We start from the raw sequence: 22,597 nt of genomic DNA, 5'->3' as shown, positions 1-22,597 counted from the left end.
GAGGGAGTCAACTAGGCTGCCCCATCCCATTCATTAACACTGAGAGCAGAAGAACTGCCCAGCTGAGCCCAGGCAACCCCAGAATCATGAAAGATGATAAATGGTGGTGTTGGTGGTGATTTTATTTTCAACTACTAAGCCTAGAGGTAATTTGTTCACATCAATAGACAAGCAAAACAGTCTGTTTACATAGGAAAATTCTCTCTTAGACAGAAAAGATCTAAAAAAGTTTGCATACATGGTGCATCTGGCTCTGATGTGATGTGGCCAGATGAAAGCTCTCCACTAATGGGGTCCCTTGTTTGCTTCTTGGGGAGAACGTCTTTTAGAGGGCTAGACATACAGAAGGGATATCTGTGGCCTTATTAGACTACAGTACTTTTGTTTCTTTCCACAGTATTCCTAGAACACTTTCATTTGTGAATGCACAAATTACCTAGGTCTCCATGCATCTAATGGCTGAAGCCAGGGAACAGAGCTACCTAGCCCAGAATCCAGGAGGAGAGAGTCTTGGAATTGATGACCAATGAGCTAAAGCGAGGTGTGGAAAAGGCAGGAGCTGTCTCTTTCCTGAACACTCAATTTTTAAAAATTGTTAAATTGAGGTATAAGGAAAGCCTCATTCTCCTTGGAAAGCTACTGAACTTATTCCTCATTAAATTTTTGTGAGAGTTAAATGTGAAGATATACGCAAACTACTTAGCACAGTTCCCGTATGAATTAGGTGTTCAATAAACAAATATCCTTTCCGAATTTGTAGTGATTTTTGTTTCTGCATTAAAATGATGACTCTATAATAGGTTTCACTCTGAAAAGGCAGCTAATTCCTATGTGCTATATTAGGTGAGCATATTTAAGAGTTATATTCAGATCTGTTGTTTTGACCTCAGATAGTATCTGTGGAGCCACTGTTAAATCAAAGCAATCTTCATAAGGTTATGAGATCAGGTAGATGACCTTCATCCATGAAGCTTTCTTCCTGATATTCCCTGAAAAGACAAGTAAAGACTGTTCTTCAAACTATGCTGGTATAATAATGTTTTTCAGCCTGACCTTTGGCAAAAGGCACTATGTCTGCTAGCTGTTGGGATACACGAATGTTTCCATCAAGTGTAAATGGATGGGAGGTCTCAGATCCATTTACACCTGATGAAAAGGCTTTCTTACCCCACTCTGGTGTTTACGGCCTTGTGTTGCATGTATATGTTTTCCTGAAGATGTGTTCAATCAAGCTCTCAAAAACTTTCCTGACTTTGGATCAATTTCCATGGCGGATTTGCCAGGCTGCTGAGTTGCCCAGAAGACCAAATACCCTTGCATTCACCTAGTCATCCAAATCAGAACTCTAGCAAGTTGTTGAATTCAGTTTTGAAAAGAAAACTTCTTTGGGGGTGGTTTAGGAAGGCAAAGTGAGAGCTGCAGTTCTTTTTCTTGCAGGAGACACAACCCAACATTACTTTTTTTCCCCAAAGAGTTAGAAGAGATGAGACACTAAGGAGGGACAGTATTTTTATTTCTATGGCTTCCTTACCACAACAGAGGAAGCTTAGTGGCCACAGGGGTCTAGTTAATGAGCGGGTTATACAATATTCATTGTGTTGAGTTTAAGTCTTCAAACAGAACGTCTAATTGCAAAAAGAAAGAAGGAAGCCCAATTACAGATGTTAAGACAACAAAGCTCAGGAATAACTCCCTCTGTTGATGAAAGTGTCCTCTCCCGGGTTCCTCCACTAACTGCACATTGACAGAGGCACAATGAGTCCCTGTCTTCATCAGTTATTCTCATTATCTCTGCTCTGTCTGGGACACTCTCCAGGGCCCAAGGAGGGCCACTGAGAGGTCTGGGGTGACAGTCTTCTCAGAGGACTGTTTTCTTGCTACCCACAGAAGGAGTGATCCAGTTGTACTCTGCTTGAACCAAAACAAAACTGTTCTCCCCAATCTTCCTGACGTGCACAGTCTCACCACTGTTGCTCCTGGCAACAGCATCCGAAGCGGGCTCACTGAAAGACACTTCTGTCTGCTGGTGGCAATACTGGGTGTGCAGGTAGCGAAGGCCAGCGGCCAGGGCCATGCCCAGGGTGGCTGACAGGCAAAGCAGAATTCCCAGCTGAGGAGTTCTGAGCTGGATACCCAGAGGGGCCTGGGCTCCCTCTAGCCCAATGTCAGGCCGTGGGTTGGTCTGCCGAGGGTATCCCACTCCACCCTCTCCATTTCCCTTCCCTGCTCTGAGCTCCTTGTGCTTTGACTGAGGTAAGAAGCTGGCAGAGGCCCTGGATGCCTCTGACTGGTCACCAGCAGCAGGTAGCCCAGAAGTGCCAGAGGTCTGGAGGACAGGGATTGGGTTGCTTGCCCTGACCCCATTCCCTGTGAAAGTTTCAGAGGACCAGAGGCACTGGGGATAGGTAAGCTGGACGGTGGACAGAGGAGGCTGTGTCACGGTCCTGTTAGAGGCCTTCGTCTTGTCCTAGAAAAACAAAGGGAAAAAAGAGTCAAAGGTACTGGTCTTCCTCCTAAGCTGCCACTGAACTTTGTAACTAACTGGGGTTCCTTAAAGACTCCCAGGAGGCAGCTAAAAACCCAGTCTCTTTCTTGCTACTAAAGGAGCTCAAAGTAAAATGCCCAACTAGATACAAATGCACTTGTTATTGATGGGGATGGGGTAGCTAATGGAAACCCCACAGAGAACAAGGAAGCCAGTTACAAGAATAAGCTTAGGGTCCTTTAAGTGGCTTCCAAACCAAAATATCAATGGGTGATTGCATCATCTTCTATGGCTGAGAGATTTGAGTGTGTCTTCTTATGATAGGACCCATGCAAGAGGGACCATTTAACCTCACTGTAGGTTCTGAGAAATGTAAGTAAGAACATTACACCTTGTTTTATTTTGTGTTCCTTCTAAGACTTCAAAGGAATAGTAAATCAGTGGGCATTTATATTTTATATTGACCATTGATCTAACTTCTGGGACCATACATGGCATTTTGAGGTCAATGTTATGAAGGAGGGATAGAGGAGGAGAGAAGAGAGTAATTATTAACTGTGGCTAAGTGAGAAGACAAGTCACTAAAACATCAATTTCTACAATTGCCGATCACTTCAGAGACACTGCATATAATGGAAAGGTATTGATTAGTAGAAAGACACTGTGTGTATATTGTACTTTGCCTTCTTCTCTCTAACTTTGGCTACTAGTCTAATAGCTCTGATTTCCCAGCCTGAAACTGACCATTCTAGGATCAAAATACCAGTCACAAGCCCACTTCACAGTTCAGGTTCTTACCTGTTCACCCCCATCTGAGGACAGGCAAGTTTCCAGTGAATCAAAGCTGGGATCATCCTGAGTTCTAAAGGGAAGAATGGAAGGGCTGAAAACAGGTCATTAAGTTTTGGACCAAAAAGCAATGTTTCCTACCACAGTTGTGTATGCAGATGGCAACAGATTCACTTGAAAAACTTCTGATTTTGGAGTCAGGAACCATAGAGAAGAGGAAGGGGAGAGATGAGTGAGAATGGTGGCAAAGAACTCACCAAATGCTGTCGCTTATTATTTTATATAAAATATACATTTCTATGTTGTTATTATAAATATATTTAAAATATAAAAAGTCACTTTTAAAGTTTTACTTATAACAGCACCTCAGAGATCTCACCCCATCCAAGAAAATAATTTCCCTGGGTAATTAACATACCCAGTCCTTCTGACAAGTAGCCCTGCTACATCCTGGGTTTTTCACACACTTAAGAAAAAATATGGCTGAGATCTTTTTTGTCAGACTCCACATGATGCACTCCAGTGTTCATCCTAGTCCCATCACCTGTCCTGAATGGCCCACCCATCACCCTTACCTGTGATGGGTGCTAAGGCTGGAAGCAAAGCTCTCTGAGGAGACTCTCTTGAGGGCCACGAGCCTCTCCAGCCTGTGGACCTCCAGGGACGGCTCTAGGGTGGGATTGCTGTCCCCGCTGGGTTGCTGGTTGATGCTGCCTTCAGTGGCTGTGTGTGAAGATGGTTGGGACAGAGTCTCTGCATCCCCAGGAAACTTTGTCACCCAAATACTGGCAGGAACAGGATCTAGGTTGTCCTCCTCTGCAGCTCCAGGAAGGGCAACAGCAAAGACATGTGTGTGCTGCTGTGGAAGAGTGATGGGGGTCCTGGGAGCTAAGCAGAGGTCCAAAGACAGCGCAGAGTGAGTGAGAGCATTTTCCCCGCATCGATTGTTACAAACAGCTATGATCAGGGGTAAACAGCAGTGACTCTAATATGCCTCAAGGAGAGACCATTAAGTGTGAGGCACTTAAAAGTGTCAGCATAAAGATGACCTGCCTGATCATACAAGCCCCTGACCACGCAAGGGCTTATATCTTTTTAGAGAGTGAGTCCCTGGCCTGTCTGGGCTTGTACCTTCTTAACAGCCACCATTCAGGGAACACAGAAAGCACTGTGACCACCATATTTATTTCACCTCTGCCAAAAACTGCTTCTAGCTAGAAAAAGGAGTGAAATCCCACAAATCAAGACTTTTCAAAGCCCTAGATCTTTCTTGCCCTAATATTAACACTCAAAGTTTCTTTCTCTGGTGATAATGACTTGAACATCTGCTATGAGAAGAGACGAGATCACTGCCCTTCAATGCCCTCCACCATCTAATTTCCCATTTGTGACTGGCTAACCTGACAGCCCAGAGCATGAGAAAGAGCTTCACATGGAGCAGCAAGCAAGCAAGTGCAGGTTTTAGAGTCAGATTCTTTTCTGGGTTCAGTCGTCCACTAATTTCTGGCTTTGGGGAAGTCCTCCCAGAGCATTAGTTTCTTCATTTGCAAAATGAGGCCAGCATAGGATTGCTGAGGGGTTGACATGAACTCATTGAGGTGGAAGCGTGAAGCAGGTGCCTGGCACACAGGTACACAGGCAACATGCACAGAGGGTTTACCACAATGATGATGAGGATGACATGATGGCATTGACCAAAACAGTGTTGGCAGAAGTTTCTCTGGCCAGGGCTCCAGGTTCTTTATGGGGGTGGAGGAGGTACCCCTTTGCTCCAATGTTTTTAACACTCAAAAACGTTGAGGTGAAGAATAAAGCAGCCTAGCCCAGACATACAGAACATGGCAAACTGATAGTTTCAAATTCCTGCCTGAACTCTAAGAGCATTTGGATATTTCCTGCAGACCCGCTGTGTGCTGGGTATTGTTATAGTTGTTGGAGATGCAAACATAATGCAGACTTGTAATTGGTGTCCCTGAACTCAAAACTGGGAAGAGACACCCTTACATGTCAAACTACCTAAATTAATAAAGAGGCCGGGCGCTCGCGCCTGTAATCCCAGCACTTTGGGAAGCCAAGGCAAGTAGATCACCTAAGGTCAGGAGTTCGAGACCAGCCTGGCCAACGTGGGGAAACCCTGTCTCTCTACTAAAAATACCAAAGTTAGCAGGGTGCAGTGGTGCATGCCTGTAATTCCAAGCTACTTGGAGGCTGAGGCAGGAGAATCGTTTGAACCCAGGAGGTGGAGGTTGTAGTGAGCTGAGACTGCATCACTGCACTCCAGCCTGGGTAGCAGAGAGAGATTCTGTCTCAAAATTAATTAATTAATCAATTAATACCAGAGCTAAGGAAGCAATTATATTTGCCGCTATGGTCTTAATGTGCCCCCCTCAAAATTCATATGTTGAAATCAAATCCCCAATGCAATAGTGTAAAGAGGTGGGGTTTTTAGCAGGTGCTTAAGTCATGAGGGTGGAGCCCTTATGAATGGGATTAGTAGCCTTATAAAAGGGGACTGAGGGAGCTTGTTCACCCCTTCCACCATGTGAAGACAGCAAGAACGCACCATTGTTGAGGCACAGATCATCCCTCCCTCACCAGACACTTATTCTGATGGTGCCTTCATCTTGGACTTCCCAACCTCCAGAATGTAGGCAATACATTTCTATTGTTTATAAATTATTCAGTCTAGGATGTTTTGTCATAGCAGCTGGAATAGACTAAGATACTTGCCTACCAAGAAGTATAAGGAAAAGTTTCACAAAGGAGATATTTGAACTGTGCCTTGAAAGACGCAGAGAACTGTTGTGTGGAACAGTCCAGTTTGAGGAAGTGTCAGAAGGGAAGGCACTAAAATATAAAAGTAGACCATACCTAATGGGGTGGAGGAGGACTCAAAGTGTCTTGGTCTATTGGGAGATAAGTTTCAGATATACAATATACTAATTTCCCAATTTTGAAAATTTATAATTTATACTTGCCTACGAATTCTTTGTACAGTTAAGAAACCTATTTCACTTTATTAGATGAAATAAGGTGAAATAGATTTCTTAACTGTACAAAGACAAACTTCCCAGAATACATACACACACACATGCACACACGCATGCACATAAATACATACATGCGTGCACAAGCATACATACATGTTTCTTTTTCCTTTGGGAATCACTAGGGTTTGGGTAGTGGAACAAATGGGGAAGACAGGCTGGGGCCAGAAGGAGAGGAATGTGGGCAGTGTAATGAGGAGGTTACCCTGTAAACTGCTTGGGCTGGAGGCTGCAACCCCCAGCGGACAAGGTTTCCAGCGGAGTCAGGCATAGAAAGGCCCAAGGCTCCACATGACACTTCTTCCTGAAGCTTCACTTTTATTCATATTCATGTTCAAACAAACATGGTTATACTTGGGATTAAAACATGATACTTGCATCATTCATAAAATAAAACATGAGATTTCAAACATATGTCAGGGGTGCAGGGTCTTCTCCAGGCCATGGTCTCAGGCTCCGAGATCTTTACTCTGCTTTTAGGAGTGTCTTGGTGGGAAGGTTGGAGGAGTTGTGCTGGGTAATAGAAGAAGACAAAGGTTGTGGGGCAAAGGCAGAGAATGGAGGGTGGTCCCCACTGTCTCTGTACCTGGGTCTGCTAGACTGAGAAGAGGCAGGGATTCTGATTGGATTCTGGCCTTAACATATTAGCAAAGAGTAAAGGAAAGAATAAGCGAAGAGGAGAATGAATGGATTAAGGGTAGGGTCTTGTGTGCATGTGTCTGGATGCTTTTACGAGTGCTTGTGTTCATAGCACTTAACTAGAAATAAACAACAAAAAGGAGTTCCATACCACCAGGGATTTTCAGATAGGTCAAACAGCCTCTAGCTGGCTAGTGGTTTTCCTTTGTTTTGTTGCTTTTCTTTTCTTTTTTCAGGAGTTCATGGACTAATGGAATATAAAGCCATGTAGTGAGCAAGGAAAAATCCCTTCCCATTGAAACAGTGATTCCTGATTCTGTTCTCCAACCCAGGTTGCAAAGAGCCACCTACCTACTATGAAAAGTAACAATAAAAACTGGATGCGTTTTTATGAGAAAAGACGAAGAAAAGCTCATTTCTTTTTTGTGCTCCCTGCGTAGCTTCAGGGGACTAAGGAAAACAGCAGAAATATTGTGAGGACTAGTAAATGTTGGGGGAAGAGGTGTATGCTGTTTTTTGGTATTGCAGCACAGCTCTCACTGTCCACCCTGGGGCCTGACTTAATGTGTTAGGTTGAGCCAGACAAAGTGTGTTTGCTGCAACAAACAAAGCAACTGCAAGCGTTCCCTCCCTCTCACTGCTGCGTTATCACATCCCCAAGAACTGCTGCAGTTGGCCACGGCAGGTGTTTATTGCTTGTTTTGCAGGAACAGGAAACTGGCAGTAGTAACTTTTAAGTGAAAATAGATAACTGTAAAAATAATGATGACAACCAGCCTGGCAAATACAATGACAAGCTGTACCTGGAGCAGCTCCTTCAACATCGCCCAGCCTCTGGTGAAGGTTTGGCATCAGCAATCTGGGCTCCATGCGGTCGTCAGAATGGGCGCTGCTATGTGTCTGTTGAGACACAACAGATGATTCAATCCTTGCCCAGTAAACAAAATATGACTGGACTACTGATAAACTGGGGAAAGAGAAAGAGCAGAGCAGTTCACGGATTTAGTTTCCTTTAAATAATAACTCAGGCCAGCCTCACAGAAAAGAGAGAACACACTAACAGATAAAGAGGAACAAAACTAAATAAATAGCAGAATGAGAGAGAGAGATTATATTATTACTCTTTGAGTGACTTCATTCTTTTTAAAAACAAAAACCCCATAGTTGCAAATAATTAGAATAGGAGATGATATGAACAAATCAATAGTCCTCTTGAATAAATACAGTCACTAAAAATCTCATTTTAACTAAAAAGTATCTCCTCAAACTGTTTAGACTCCAATAAAAGGTTTTATCATCAATGTTACTATTAGCCATTCCTGATATAGTTATTATGTCATGATTTGAAGATCTTATAATTCTGTTGTATAATTGTACATGTCTACCCTTATTGTAGATTCTATTGGAAATTAGAGATAAATCCTTAATATTCTAAATAATTTTTTGAAAAGCAATTCTTCAGTAAAAATCACATTCACAAACATTATGCCATTTGTTCTTCCAAATATTTCAGTAAAGGAGGGATTATTGGCAAGTGCCATTTTTCCCACTTTAAGTATTCAGGAGGCAGACATAACAAGGTGATTAATTTGGCCGAAGTCACCCAGAGGCTCGAGACGCAGTGAGCGTCATAGTTCAGGCCCCCAACATGCGGTTTCCAGACTCGGCGGACATTATCGTGCGCAAGCGTTCCCGGAGGTGGGAGATCACAGGGTGACTTGGGACAGGTGTCTCATCAAGTGACTTACCTCGTTTTTTCTGTCAAATGGAGATCATAGCTTCTACACTACTTGCTATGTGGCACGCAGCAACTATGATGGTACATCCAAAAATAGGAATTGAGGTGCTTTGAGAAAGAAAGGTGACTGTACAGGTTTAAGGACTTCAAGAAGCAGACACCCTCTGCGCTGCGTAAGAACCAAAGCCAAGGGCAGAAGCTGGGCACACCCACAGGTAAGCGGGCCCTGGGCCTTCCAAAGAGGAAAAATCCTAAGGCACGTGTTTCCCTTCTTGCTGTCCTGTCTGCTGCCCTGTGCCACCAGGAGGTGGGGGAGAAGGGACACCACAAGCTAGGGCCACCAACCTCCTCTCCCACTGCTCCCCAGAGCAGAGGGGAGTCCTGGAGGGGAGCATGTGAGCTGGACTACCTCTGCCTGCAGGCGCAGTCTCCTTCATATTTAGGAGGGTGTGGGGAAGAGAAACAGAAACACACACCCTTTCCCGAAAGAGAAAAATTATCTTTCTTGGTAAATGCAAGTGTCTGAAAAGAATGACAAAACAAGTACCTCATTTTGAGTACTAATGATGCTTTTAAAGTGCTTACTGTTGCCAGGAACTCTTCTGAGCGAACGTAGGCTCTCTCATCCATATACAACCCTGAGGGAGGTGCTGTGGTTATGCCCATTTATAGAAAACAAGCCAAGGCACAGAGCCTCAAGAAGCTTTTCCTGGGCCCAGGGACGTGTCCATTTGTCCATCTGCCTGTTTCTCTCTTTCTTGGCTCTCTCCTGCCTTCCCCACCGCCAGCCATTCTGTCCTCTGGTCAGAAACTCCTAGAGAGGTTGGCCAAGATTTACCTGTGCCTGGGGAGGCAGGGAGATAACACACTCTAGGCCCATGGACAGTGATGAAGGGATGAGTTTGGGGGCAATATTTTTTTTAGTTTCCCTCTGCATAGGCTCTCCAGTTTAGGCAGCATCCATGACCCTGTCCTTGCTATAAGGTGGCCACATAAGGAGGGGGAAAGGGAATATGAAGTCAGGGCAAAGAGAAGCTCCCCTCTCTCCAAAGTAGAAGGCTCAGTTTCTAAGAAACAGCACTTCACTCTCTTACAGGAACTTAATGTCCCCCACAGGCTGGGCTGGGGCCTTCCACACGAATGACAGGTTTCTCTTCAGGGACTTGTCAGAGTGGGTGACTGCATCAGCCTCTTGAAAACAAGTCATCAGTTTGGAATGAGGAGGAATGAGAACGAAAGTGCCAGCGATTTGATGATCGGACACTCTTCGAGCCTGAAGGAGAAATCCCATGAAATCACGACTGCTTCTCACTGTCACTGCAACAAAAACACCCGTTCAACATGAACACGTGTGACTTAGTTCCGTGTGGTGATTTTATGCAGCTTTTTTCAAAACTAAAAGCTTAAGATCAGCCCCCAGAAAGTGAACAATTCATTAGAGGGGGGTAAAGTTGAAGTCCTATTTCACACCAAAATAAATTCCATTTGGATCAAAGTTATGCGAAAATGAAATAAAAAATAACTAGAAACTTTTTTTCTTTTTATAAATATTGGATTTAGAAATACCTCTCTGAGCAAAACCCAGCTGCCATAAAGGAAAAGATGAGTAAAGTGTGCTATACTTTTTTAAAATATGAGTTTAGGTGAACCCTGGACAGATGATTAAAAAAAATTATTTTCCAAAAAAAAGTATTTGTAAGACATAAAACAGACAAATATTCATTGTCATGGTGAATTCATAAAAAGATGACTGCCTCAAAATAATGAAAGGATACAAACAGAAATAAAAAAAGCTTAGTAATAATTTTTTTTTTTTGAGACAGAGTCTCGCTCCGTCACCAGGCTGCAGTGCAGTGGCACGATCTCAGCTCACTGCAACCTCTGCCTCCTGGGTTCAGGCGATTCTCCTGCCTCAGCCTCTCGAGTAGCTGGGAGTACAGGCACGCACCACCACGCCCAGCTAATTTTTGTATTTTCAGTAGAGACAGGGTTTCATCATGTTGGCCAGGGTGGTCTCGATCTCTTGACCTTGTGATCCGCCCTCCTCGGCCTCCCAAAGTGCTGGTATTACAGGCGTGAGCCACCGCATCTGGCTGCTCAGTAATAATTTTTAAAGCAATTATACATGAGATATTATTTTATACCTTTCATATTAGCAAATGTTAAAATGTGTGGTTGTAAGCAGTCTTGATAAGACTATGGAAAAACTAGGGCATTCATTCACTAGTGCTGGAACTATAAACCATCCAACTTTTTGTGGTGTAACCTGACAACATCTTCCACATTTAAAATGCAGTTACCCCTCTGATACATGCTACCTTATCAGTTAGCCCTGAAAACATAGTAAGTAAAATAAAGCCAGACCCAAGATGACAAATATTGCATTATTCCACTTATGTGAGGTACCTAGAGCAGTCAAACTAACAGAGATGGAAAGAAGATTTAAAGTTATCTGGGTCTGGGCATAGGGAAGGATGGCCAGTACAGAGTGTCCATCTGGGATGATGGAAAAGTTCTGGAAATGGATAGTGATGATGGTTGTACAACAATGTGAATGCGCTTAATGCCACTGAGCTCTGTACAGCTATAATGGTAAAGTTTATGATATATGTTTATAAACACAATAAAAGAAATGCCCTCCAAAAATCATTACTCTTTGATCTAGAAATTTTGCATCTAGGAATTTTCCCCACTGACAAACTTGCACAAATAAATATGGCAAACACTGATGTCCAATACCCAACAGCGATTGTCCGCTTATTCCCTGCTAGCAGAACAGATGGTTCTGCTAACAGAACCCAGATGTTACATTCATGTGGAAGTGGAGACCACCTGTCTTCGGGGAAGTTAGGCCTCTCCTTTTCCCCAGGGGATGAACTGTGATTAGACTAAAACCAGTGTTGGTGATTCTGTTCCCCTTCACCAGATAGAATTCTGGCCAATGAGGCCAGATCTGCTGAGAGAACAGCTAATGTCTAAGGATCAATCTTTTCACGTAAGGCCTTTATTTCAGCTGTCATCCCAGTATGAGGCCTAAAACCATGGCACTCATCCTGAAACTGTGCGATGTCAAAGGAATGAAATCCCAACTCGCTGATGATGGCGGAGCAGGAAAATCGAAAAATCTTAGGATCTAGATGATGTCATTGAATGGCTTCACCCAAAGCAGAAACTGTGCCTCCACACTTAAGAGAGAAAATTAAGTGTCTTTATTCATTAAGTTTCTGTTAATCAGTTTTTCTGATACTTGGAACTAAAACAATCTTGATGCATACAGTGAGCAAAGACATATGAATAAAGATATCCATCAAAACCATTTATGAAAAAAATTTAAAAAGTAAATACCCATAAATAAGAAACTGGTTAAATCAATCATGCGACCTCTAGACAATGGACTGTCATGAAATCATTAAAAACAAGCTCTGTGGCTGGGCACGGTGGCTCACGCCTGTAACCCCAGCACTTTGGGAGGCTGAGGCGGGTGGATCACGAGGTTAGAAGATTGAGACCACCCTGGCTAACACAGTGAAACCCCATCTGTACTAAAAATACAAAACAAAAAAATTAGCCAGGTGTGGTGGTGGGTGCCTGTAGTCCCAGCTACTGGGGAGGCTGAGGCAGGAGAATGGCATGACCCAGAAGGTGGATCTTACAGTGAGCCAAGATTGCGCCACTGCGCTCCAACCTGGGTGACAGAGTGAGACTCTGTCTTAAAAAAACAAACAAAAAAACAAACAAAAAAACAAAATTCTGTATCCAATAAAATATATCAGTCTGATTGTTAGGTAAAAAATATAAACATTAAACAGACATTTAATTTGTGTCTGCTTAAGATTATATTAATTTGAGATCTCACTCACATATGCTTAAATGCATGGAAAACTTCTGAAAAGAGGTGCAAGAAACTTAACAAAGGTTACCTCTGGGGAATCAAATTGAGTGTTCAGAGCCAGAGAAGGAAAAGTACTTTTAATTTTCTACCTTTTGATAGTATTCTAACATTTTTAAAGCATGTAATATCTTCAAGCTATTTAAAATTTTTTTTAAAAAAGCCACTCATGTTCAAGGGAATGAGTGGCTAAAATCAGGGTCAGACCTTTATAAGTTTGCTAAATGCAGCTTGGTGTCTAGGATTGTTTTATTTTCCACACATTTGAACTTTTCTTAATAAACATTTGAACAAATATTTAGAACTATTGAACACCAAGCACTATGCTAGGAGTTGAGTATGTATCTATGAGCAGGATAACATGGTCCTTACCTTCAAGGAGCTCACAGATCCCGGCAAGAAAACAGTATACTTGCAACGTAAGTCAGTAATAACTGACTCTCATTGAATCCATGAGGCACTCTGTCAAGTCATTTATTACATATGCTGTCTTGGTTCCAGTTACAATCCAATTGTGTTTCCCTCAGGATACCTTCAGAATTTAGGTATCACAATATTTTTAGTTATTTCTGCAGATTTTTCTCACTGACATAGTGGTTTTTTGGTTTGGGGTTTGTTTGTTTGTTTGAGACAGAGTCTCACTTTGTCACTGTCACCCAGGCTGGAGTGCAGTGGGGCTATCTCAGTTCACTGCAACCTCTGCCTCCTAGGCTCAAGCAATCCTCCCACCTCAGCCTCCAGTGTAGCTGGGAACACAGGGTACAAGCCACCATGCCTGGCTAATTTCTGTATTTTTTTTGTAGGGACAGGGTTTTGCCATGTTGCCCAGTCTGGTCTCAAACTCCTGAGCTCAAGTGATCCACTCACCTTGGCCTCCCAAAGTGCTGGGATTACAGGCATGAGCCACCATGCCTGGCTGACATAGTGTTTTGATTCTTACCGTTGTTATTCCCCTAGCCACAGAACACTAGGATACTGACATACCAATCCCTTCATGCTGGGAGGGGCTGGATGCACTCTAGGGTGGATGGAGCCCCCAAAGAAGTGGCCTTCCTTGGGGAGCCTCTTGCATTTGCCCCGGTGTGCTAAATACACAGACTCACTTTCTGTGTCATGATGTGACAAAGTTTGGGAAGCTCTATTAGAATAGACTTAATTCAGTATATTGGGGAGTATATTGATGTTGAACTCATATACTATCCACCCATGTTTTTTCACACTTCTCAAGAGAGCGAAATGAATGGGTAAAACAATATTTATAGAGTAAATTTCATTTTTGTTTATCACCTTTAGTTCCTATCAAAAGAATCAGCAAAAATCAAGAGGGGTTTAGGGCAAAAGTTGCTGATGTGTTGGAGCTCACCTTGGGTGCATAGTTCTCTGCCTACACTTCGTGGCATCTGAAGTATCTGTAGCTTCCTTCTCTGCTGTCCCTCACTGCCACTTCCAAGCTTGGTCCAAGGTAAGCTGTGGACTCTGAAGAGTGTGTGTGAGTTTGGGGAGTGGGGGCGGGGCATGGAGGTAGAAACACCCCTGGTGGGGGCAACCCGAAACTGGTAAGTTCCCTGCCCCTGCATCTTCCTGAGAGATGATTCAGAGGTGTTTCACATGGCTTCTCAGAGGGTCCCCACTGGAATGCACCTCGGTTGCCCACAGCAGAGACCTGCTCAGTTGCACGCCCTTGACTGGCATCTCCTCTTGCCCAGCTCCCTTTCCCTCTTCCTCACCTGTGTTTCCTGGGATGATCTCTCACATAAACCACCTGCGCTCACGTTCTTTCCCTGCTTTTATAGGCACCTAAACTAAAAGAACAGGAAATGATTTTTTCATCCCCCAATATTTTAATTTAAAAAATGTCAAATTGTATATATTTAAAGTATACAACATGATGTTTTGATATACTTACACATAGTGAAATGGTTACTATAGTCAAGCAAATTAAAATATCCATCATCTCACCAAAGTGTCTGTTGATGGATGAATTTTAGTTTTAAATAATGAGAAAAAAGTGTATTTCACACACATAGATGATACATGAAGGTTGTTCAGAGTAACTATATTTGTGTCCGTAATAAGATACATTTATATCTTATGGTAAGGACAAAATAATTATCTATAATAATATTTGTGTCTTCTTATACAGATCACAATTAATACAGAGATTAGTTATCATGTGGTTTTTATGACACAAATATTTTATGCTTATTTTTAACCTGATAATTGCTTCTTAAGATTAAGCCAGGCTGGGCATGGTAGCTTGTGCCTGTAATCCCAGCACTTTTGGAGGCTGAATCAGGAGGTTCACTTGAGCCCAGGAGCTCGAGACCAGACTGGGCAACATACAAAGACCCTGTCTCTAAAAAAAATACAAAAAATTAGCAGGGCACAGTGGCATGTGCCTGTAGTCCCAGCTTCTTGGGAGCCTGAGGTGGGAGGATCACTTAAGCCCAGGAGTTTCAGACCAGCCAGGGCAACACAGTGAGACTCCATCTCTACAAAAAACAAAAAAAAGGGATTAAGCCAAATTTAGTCCAGGAAGCTTCTGACTGGGACAAACACAAACTGGAAGGTCCATGGGGGCTCTGGGGCTCCTCGGAGTCTCTCTAAGCCTCTCTGGTACATACCTGGAATCTTGTCACCTGGTGCATAGGAAGTCCTGTGGGTGTGGATGGTGATGTGGTGGCTGTCCTGGTGCTGAGGCTGGGCTTGGATGTGCTTGGGCTGCATGTCATCACAGGCCACCGTGCTGGCACCATGGGAAAAGGCAGATGAGCAGGAAGCCAGGCAGAGGGTGGTACAAGCCCAGCCCACGAGGGCAGCCTGCATCCTCATCCTGCCCTCTCCTGTATCATGACAAACAGCAGCTTCAGTCCAGACGTTATTTAGGAAAACGACATAAAGTCTTCTCGGGATGTGACTAACCTGAACCCCACACTGCCTCTGTACCTGAGATGCTTTTAGTGCAGCCTCCCAGGATTGCTAATGTTCAAGGCCAAGATCAAAAGGAAATGCCAGGCTATAGGAAGTGTTTCATTTCCAAACACCTTTTTAAAAACTTCTGTTCTTGTAATTTTCTCATAAGACCAGACTGCTTTTTTTGTTGTTGTTCAAAAGAGAGGCTTTAATTATTGAGTCAAAGAAATAAAACCAGAAAATGTTTGTATCCTAGCGTGAGCTCCTTGCAAGCTGACTGGTACCCAAAGGCGGTGTGGCCTCTGATACATTATCTGAAGTAGACACTCAATACACCACCATGGTCAGGCAGCATGGCATGGGATGGCTTGGCTGAGCATCTTATCTCTGTTGCAATTGAAAATTACCAAGTTAAGTGCTACAAAACATCTACCAACTATCAATTATTTAGAAGTGACTGTTAAGCTGGCAATGCTTTGATATCTCTTTGCCCTTTCTTTGGCTGTTTTTAGCTATTTCACTACTTTTAGTAAAGAAGATGAGCAGAGAAAGAAATACTCAATTTATTCTATAACTTCTTAAACATACTGATAACAATTTTGGCTCAGGAATAGAATACAATGATTGAATAAAATAGCATTTATAGAGTAAATTTTATTTTTGTTTACTACCTCTAATTCCCATCAAGAGGAAGAATTAAAATTTGGCAATGTAAAAGAAGATGACAAAAATAAAATGAGAGATAGCAAACAAGGCAGATGAAAATCTGCCTACATAAATATTTAGGATTATCACAGGCATTTTTTAACAGTTCTGTTTTAGGCCAGGTGCGGTGGCTCACGCCTGTAATCCTAGCACTTTGGGAGGCCGAGGCAGGTGGATTGCGTGAGCACAGGAGTTCAAGACCAGCCTGGGCAATACGGTGAAACCCTGTCTTTACTAAAATACAAAAAATTAGCTGGGTGTGGTGGCATGTGCCTATAGTCCCAGCTACTCGGGAGGCTGAGGCAGGAGAATTGCTTGAACCTGGGAGACCAAGGTTGCAGTGAGCTGAGATCATGCCATTGCACTCCAGCCTGGGCAAAAGAGCGAGACTCTATCTCAAAAAAAAAAAAAAAAGTTCTGTTTTTTTTTTTATAGTCCTGCACACAGGCATTTTAGAAGTTTGGCTAATTTTTTGACCTAAGGAACAATGCAAGGCAAAAAAAAAAAAAAAAAAATGCCCTCCCCTGTAGTCAGCTGGTTTTAAAAGGTGAAAATAAAATCCTGAAAATGTAGTAAAACTAGCTATCAGAACAATAGACTAAGGAAATAATCCATAAACCAAATAATCAAGTGTCCTCCACTCCCATTGTCTCTTCACACAACACCACCTTTTACATTCACAAGCTAAAAGAAGACAGGAATATGATCTATACCTCAAATTTCTTAGACATAAGAGTCCTTCAGACAATGCCTTTCTTTTCTAAGTTTGTTTTCTATGAAGCACCAAAGTCACACATCTCCATACTACAAGGAACCATGGCTACAGCTTCTCAGACACATTAGGAGATAATGAAGATGAACTGTGTAAAAGCACATTCTCAGTCAAGGGGGCTCAGGGTTCTTCTCATTTTCTTTCATAAGGGCCACATACAAAATGCCCCTTGAATGCTGGGCATGGTGGTGCGCACCTATAGTTCCAGTTGCTCAGGAGGCTGAGGCAGGAGGATCACTTGAATCCAGGAGGTCGAGGCTGCAGTGAGTTATGATCACATCACTACACTCCAGCCTGGGTACAGAGCAAGACCCTGTCTCTTAAAAGAAAAGAAAGAAATGAAATGAAAATGCTCCTCAAGTCCTTGCTGATGGCAAGTGGTCTTTCCAAAGGCAGATCAGACACAGTTGCCTACAAGGGAAGGGGAGTGAGTGCCTGGACTCACAGACTACGGCCACAGCCCCACCTCCCACCCTCCTGCCTTAGGTTTCACTGTGTCTTCTTTCCCACTAGCATCTTGTCTACCTGAACCCTGAAAACTATCCACTTGGAGCTGAGCATGGTGGCTCACACCCGTAATCCCAGCACTTTGGGAGGCCGAGGCAGGAAGATCACTTGAAGCCAGAAGTTCAAAACCAGCCTGCGCATCACAGGGAGACCTTGTCTCTACAAAAATAAATAAATAAAAACATCCACTTACCTAGGAACACAGTTTTCTTCAGGCTTGATAGAATGGCTTCCTCCCGCAGAGTTGCAAACACATCCCTTAAACATAAGTATTTTCTTCTCCTTTCAGTTTTTCCTCTAATGGGGAGAATAACAGCTGCTACCACTAATCCTCAGCATCTCCAGGAACTGTTCCTCAGTGTCCAAATCCAACCTAAATCGTATTAGCACACACATACACACACACACACACACACACACACACACACGGTTTACAGTCACATCATTGTTCAAGCCTGCGTGAAGAACTAGAAAGAACCGGAACTGGTTTTGCACAGGACTGGCACTGACATCCTTGGCAGAAGCTGGATGCCTCCATCTTGATCTCCCTGCAAAGGGGAGAATGTTTGAATGAAATGCATCTCAGCATTCTTGGCTTCTTGAGTCAGTGTGGACTGAAGTTACTCTTGGTGAAATAGAATTGATACGTTAGCCCAAGAGCAACGTTTGGTACAAAAAAATAACACGTGGCATAGGCACCTCCCGTATCAATTGCACTAAAGCTGGAGTTCACATTTTCATTCATCTAAGAATCTGCTGAGACACCTGATAATACCAGAGAGCCTATAGATCAGTGTTCCTCAATGTGTGGTCCCTAGAGTGCAACACCAGCATCACCTAGAAGCTTGCAACATTAACAATGAAGAAAAAGAGAGAGGAATGGATTTGGGAGATCAGGAGATCAGGTGGAGGTAGGATTTGGTGGCTGTTTGAATGCAAGGCGTCCAAGAGAGAATCCTAGGATTGATAGTCCTGGGTGATGTGGAGTAGGGGGCTGCAGAGAGAGCAATGTTCTGACTGTTAGGCCTTGTCTCCACTCAGAAAAAACTAAAGCTATGAGTGACTGAATAGGCAAGGCACTGGCTTAGGGACCAGGTTGCTAAGCCTTTTGTTGCAAGTGTAAATGAGACTATCTATCCTATAAACACCAAGGGAAATTGGGCTTCCTTGGCCTAGGATACCAGTATTCCCCACACACAGAACAAAAGCAAACAAATTCAATTTGGTTTCTCTAAGCTTCTATCCCACTAGGATTGGAGGCAATCTCAATCTCCCACTGAGTCATGAGAAATTCTGGGAGGTCTAGAAAATTAGGATACATTCCTTCCATGGCTGCTGTTATGATAGTTTTCAGAGCTCATGTGGTCACTTGAAGACTGTTAGTTGGAAGGCTTCTATGCCAAAAAGGGGCTCAGGTCTTCAGCAAGGCTGTGGCCTGGGTTCTTCCCACCCCCTCCACTGGGTCCTGACACAGATCTCTGCCCCTAGCAGGAGAGTGGCTAACCTCTTCTCCACTCCACTCTGCTCCTATCCCAGTCTTAGAGACAAAAGTGTCCCTCCTCTCCTTTTTTTTTTTACTCTCACCCCATTACCCTGGGCCACCTGGCATAATCCACCTACCACAGGTAGAGTGGTAATCTCCAACACCTCAGCTTTGCCCCTGAAACACAAACTCCCTGGATATACGGATTCTCAAAAGGCCCAACTACCAATTAGAATGAGGAGAGGAGTGCAAAGGTAGAGAGAGCGCACCTGCATGGCTCAATAAATAATCCTGCCATTTGCTCATGTAATATTTCTTGTTGAAAATCAGGAGGACACCATATCTTAGACATGGCCTTATCCTGCCTGCCACACCCACAGCCTCTGCTGAGCCGGCAGCGCATCTTATGCCACTCTCCCGACAAAGCTGATTGTACCAGGGGGGCATTCATCACAGGCGAGGGCCCTGCTGACTCAGGGCTGAGACAGAAACTCTCCCTGGGAATCTGACCAAGAACACATACAAGGCTACTCTATACGAGTGCTGGCCAATAGAAATAGAATGCAAGCCACATATGTAATTTAAAATTTTCTAGGCCGGACGCAGGGGCTCACGCCTGTAATCCCAGCACTTTGGGAGGCCAAGACAGGCAGATCACCTGAGGTCAGGAGTCCAAGACCAGCCTGGCCAACATGTTGAAACCCCATCTCTACCAAAAAATACAAAAATTAGCCAGGGATGGTGGCACGTGCCTGTAATTCCAGCTACTCTGGAGGCTAAGGCAGGAAAATTGCTTGAACCTGGGAGGTGGAGGTTGCAGTGAGCTGAGATCTTGCCATTGCACTCCAGCCTGGGCGACAGAGTGAGACCCTGTCTCAAAAACAAACAAACAAAAAAATTGGACTCTCCTTATTTTTAAAAAACGTGAAAAGGAACAAAAGACATTTGTTTTAATAATAAATTTAGTCAATTCAATATATTGAAAACATTTCACATGCAATCAGCATATAAAATATCATTAGTGAGATATTTTGCATTCTTTTTTTCACAGTAAGTCTTTGATATCCAGTGGTATTTTACACTTACAGCACGTCTCAATTCAGACTAGACACATCTCAAGTGCTCCGGAGCCACATGTGGTAAGCTGCTACCATATTTATCAGCGCAGGTCTGTACAAAGGAAGGTGGTTGAGCCATAGGTCATGGTGTGGGGTCAGACCTGAGGCCGTATTGTACCACGTGCAGGATGTGTAAGAGGCATTGAGGGGACAGGATAGTAATTAAACATAACAGCATATTTATATAATGCCTGCACAGTACCACACACTATTCTAGTCAGCTAGTTGGCAAATTACCTCATCGATACAGCAACACAATGAGGTCTGCACTATTGTTATCTCATTTTATGGATAAGGAAACTGAGTCACAGTGTTTCTGTAACTTGCCAAAAGTTCCCACAGCATTCAGGAAGTGATAGATAAGGTTTTTCCCTACAGTTTTGCTATAGAATAGCTTTGTAACATAATCTACAAGATGAAGATAACTACCAGTTCCTGTACCTGCATCCCGAAGTGCTGGTGAAGTTTCAGTGAGGTAATAAATAATAAGGAGTTGGTACTTAGTATGGGGTTTGAGACAAAGGAAGGGCTCTGTACCTGTTTTGTCTGGGGAAAGAGAAAGCTGGCTGAGCCACAGAGAGGGTTGGTGCCCACCACGGAGAGGAGGCGGTGAGAGAGTGTGGCTCTGAGCCAGATCATGCGCTAAGCCCGAAGCCCGAGAGACAGCAGTGAGTTGGCCTCCAATCCCCACCCACATGAAGGAGACCCAGCTGTGTGCACCCGGAAAGCAAGAAAATACTGTGTTTTGTTTGTTTGTTGCTTTTATTTTGGGAATCTGCTTGAGGTCATTTCACACTAGCAATTTGGCTGGACTTGATATATTAACATGATTGAATCTGTTACCTTAACATCCCCTGGCCCTGAGTAGAACAGTTAATATTAACGTCATACCAAGGGAAAGTCTTGGGGTGGGTTTTATGGTTATAAATCAGATACTCTGTGTCCTTCGGTAAATCACTTAACTTCTCTGGGTTGCCTCAGGTATAAAATAAAAAGGTTTGAATTAAATAATCTCTTCTATTTCTTCCAGCAAGAAAATGATACACATTTTCAAGGTTTTATTTTAGTTATAAAGGCATAAGAATGAGCTACTCTTAAAACAGCTTGAGATGGCATGCATTAAAGTCTGGCACGTAATTATAACCTGCGTTGACACCATCCCACACTCACTCCTGGTTTAAGAGTCTGCCTTGGAAAAGTTTGCAAATGAAGGAGGAACCTGTTGAGCTCACTATTCTAGTCCTGTTTCCTGCTCCTTCACTCCAGCAGACAAGTGGACATTTTCTTCATTTTCAAAGATCTTGGAGATGAAGATAATGGCTTTTGTAACTCATGAACAGTCTTTCCTATCCAAATGTTTTTCCTACCTTGGTAATGACTTCCTGCTGAGATTGACTGGTGTTTTTACATAGAAATCTGCTATTCCAGTATCATCATTGTGATTAGCATTTTAATGTTTAGATAGATTTTTTAAAACTATCTGAAGATTTCTGGAGTGCTGGGATAATCTATGTAAGAGAAAAATACAATTCTCTTTAAACTCTACATGAAAGTGGGAAGTCAATGGTCATTCATGTACGTTTAGCAGGTCTGCTGACTTTTGCATCATCCTCCATGCTACTGTGCACTTTCTGCCATTTAAAAAAAAAAAGTTGAGTGCCTTTTTTTTTTCTTTTGAGACAAGGTCTCACTCTGTCATCCAGGCTGGAGTGCAATGGTGCAATCACAGCTCACTGCAGCCTCAACTCCCAGGCTCAGGTGATCCTCCAGCCTCAGCCTCCTGAGTAGCTGGGAATATAGGCATGTGCCACCACTCCTGGCTAATTTCTGTATTTTTTGTAGAGATAGAGTTTCACCATATTGCTTAGGCTAGTCTCAAACTCCTGTTTGGGCTCAAGCAATCCTCCTGCTTCTGCCTCCCGAAATCTTGGGATTACAGGTGTGAGCCACTGTGCCCAGCCTAGTGCTTTTATTCTACCCAATAATCCTCTCCTTCATTATCCCTGTTAAAGAACAGTACAGTCAAACAGGATTTCTAAGTTAATTAATATTTGAATTCTTACTATTTGTAAAGCAACTTGCAAGAGAGTCTGCTGATAAAGTATCGGCAGGATCTTCTCCCTAGGAACTGACATTTTACTTGGGGTGAGGTAGCAAGGTAAAGAAGAAAGAGCTCTGAAGTCAGACAGCAAACTAGTTACATGACCTTGGAAAGTTAATGCTGGTGAGCCTCAGTTTTACCATCTGCAAAATGGGGAGACTATTAGATTTCTCACAAAGGTGTTGTAAGGATTAGATGCTCTCTAGCAGTGATGCAGAGCAGTAAACAAGCTATGATCAGAAGAGAGATAAAAGCCAGGTTACCAGAGTCTGGGATGCCAGAATATTTCAAGTAGAATCAGGAAAATATGGTTGATTTTAGAGGTTAGGTGGAGTTTAGACAGATGAGATGGGTAAAAGGATATTCAAAGCAGGAGAGAGAGTTTGAACAAAGGTGTGAACACTAGCTGTG

The 22,597-nt window shown here is 43.2% G+C and overlaps 1 protein-coding gene across 2 annotated transcripts, besides 1 other annotated feature; it reads right to left on the bottom strand.

Moving 5' to 3' along the window:
• Nucleotides 1-104: 104 nt before the first annotated feature.
• On the bottom strand, nucleotides 105-17,834 carry REELD1 (reeler domain containing 1). Of its 2 annotated transcripts, NM_001354631.1 has the most exons (8): nucleotides 17,678-17,834; nucleotides 17,174-17,296; nucleotides 15,212-15,430; nucleotides 9,793-10,015; nucleotides 7,764-7,927; nucleotides 3,850-4,162; nucleotides 3,284-3,347; nucleotides 105-2,467 (listed from the first exon to the last, which is right to left on the bottom strand). In NM_001354631.1, the coding sequence occupies exons 3-8, from the start codon at nucleotides 15,417-15,419 to the stop codon at nucleotides 1,859-1,861; spliced, it is 1,581 nt and encodes a 526-aa protein (NP_001341560.1). In that variant the 5' UTR covers nucleotides 15,420-15,430; nucleotides 17,174-17,296; nucleotides 17,678-17,834; the 3' UTR covers nucleotides 105-1,858. The 2 variants fall into 2 exon arrangements, with proteins under 2 accessions (NP_001341560.1, NP_001358000.1); NM_001371071.1 differs by lacking the exon at nucleotides 17,174-17,296.
• Nucleotides 9,089-10,288: an enhancer, noted in NCBI's record as "MED14-independent group 3 enhancer chr4:147143236-147144435 (GRCh37/hg19 assembly coordinates)". NCBI's record gives its function as "activates an origin of replication core promoter dependent on BRD2, BRD4, P300/CBP and CDK7 cofactors, and independent of MED14, by STARR-seq in HCT116 cells {active_cell/tissue: HCT116}" and the evidence as "EXISTENCE:reporter gene assay evidence [ECO:0000049][PMID:35650434]".
• Nucleotides 17,835-22,597: the final 4,763 nt, after the last annotated feature.

This window comes from Homo sapiens, chromosome 4 (assembly GCF_000001405.40).
Source record: "Homo sapiens chromosome 4, GRCh38.p14 Primary Assembly".
NCBI classification, from domain to species: Eukaryota; Metazoa; Chordata; class Mammalia; order Primates; family Hominidae; genus Homo; species Homo sapiens.
Note: the sequence above shows the minus strand (reverse complement) of the source record. Positions and strands in the feature narration are given on the sequence as shown.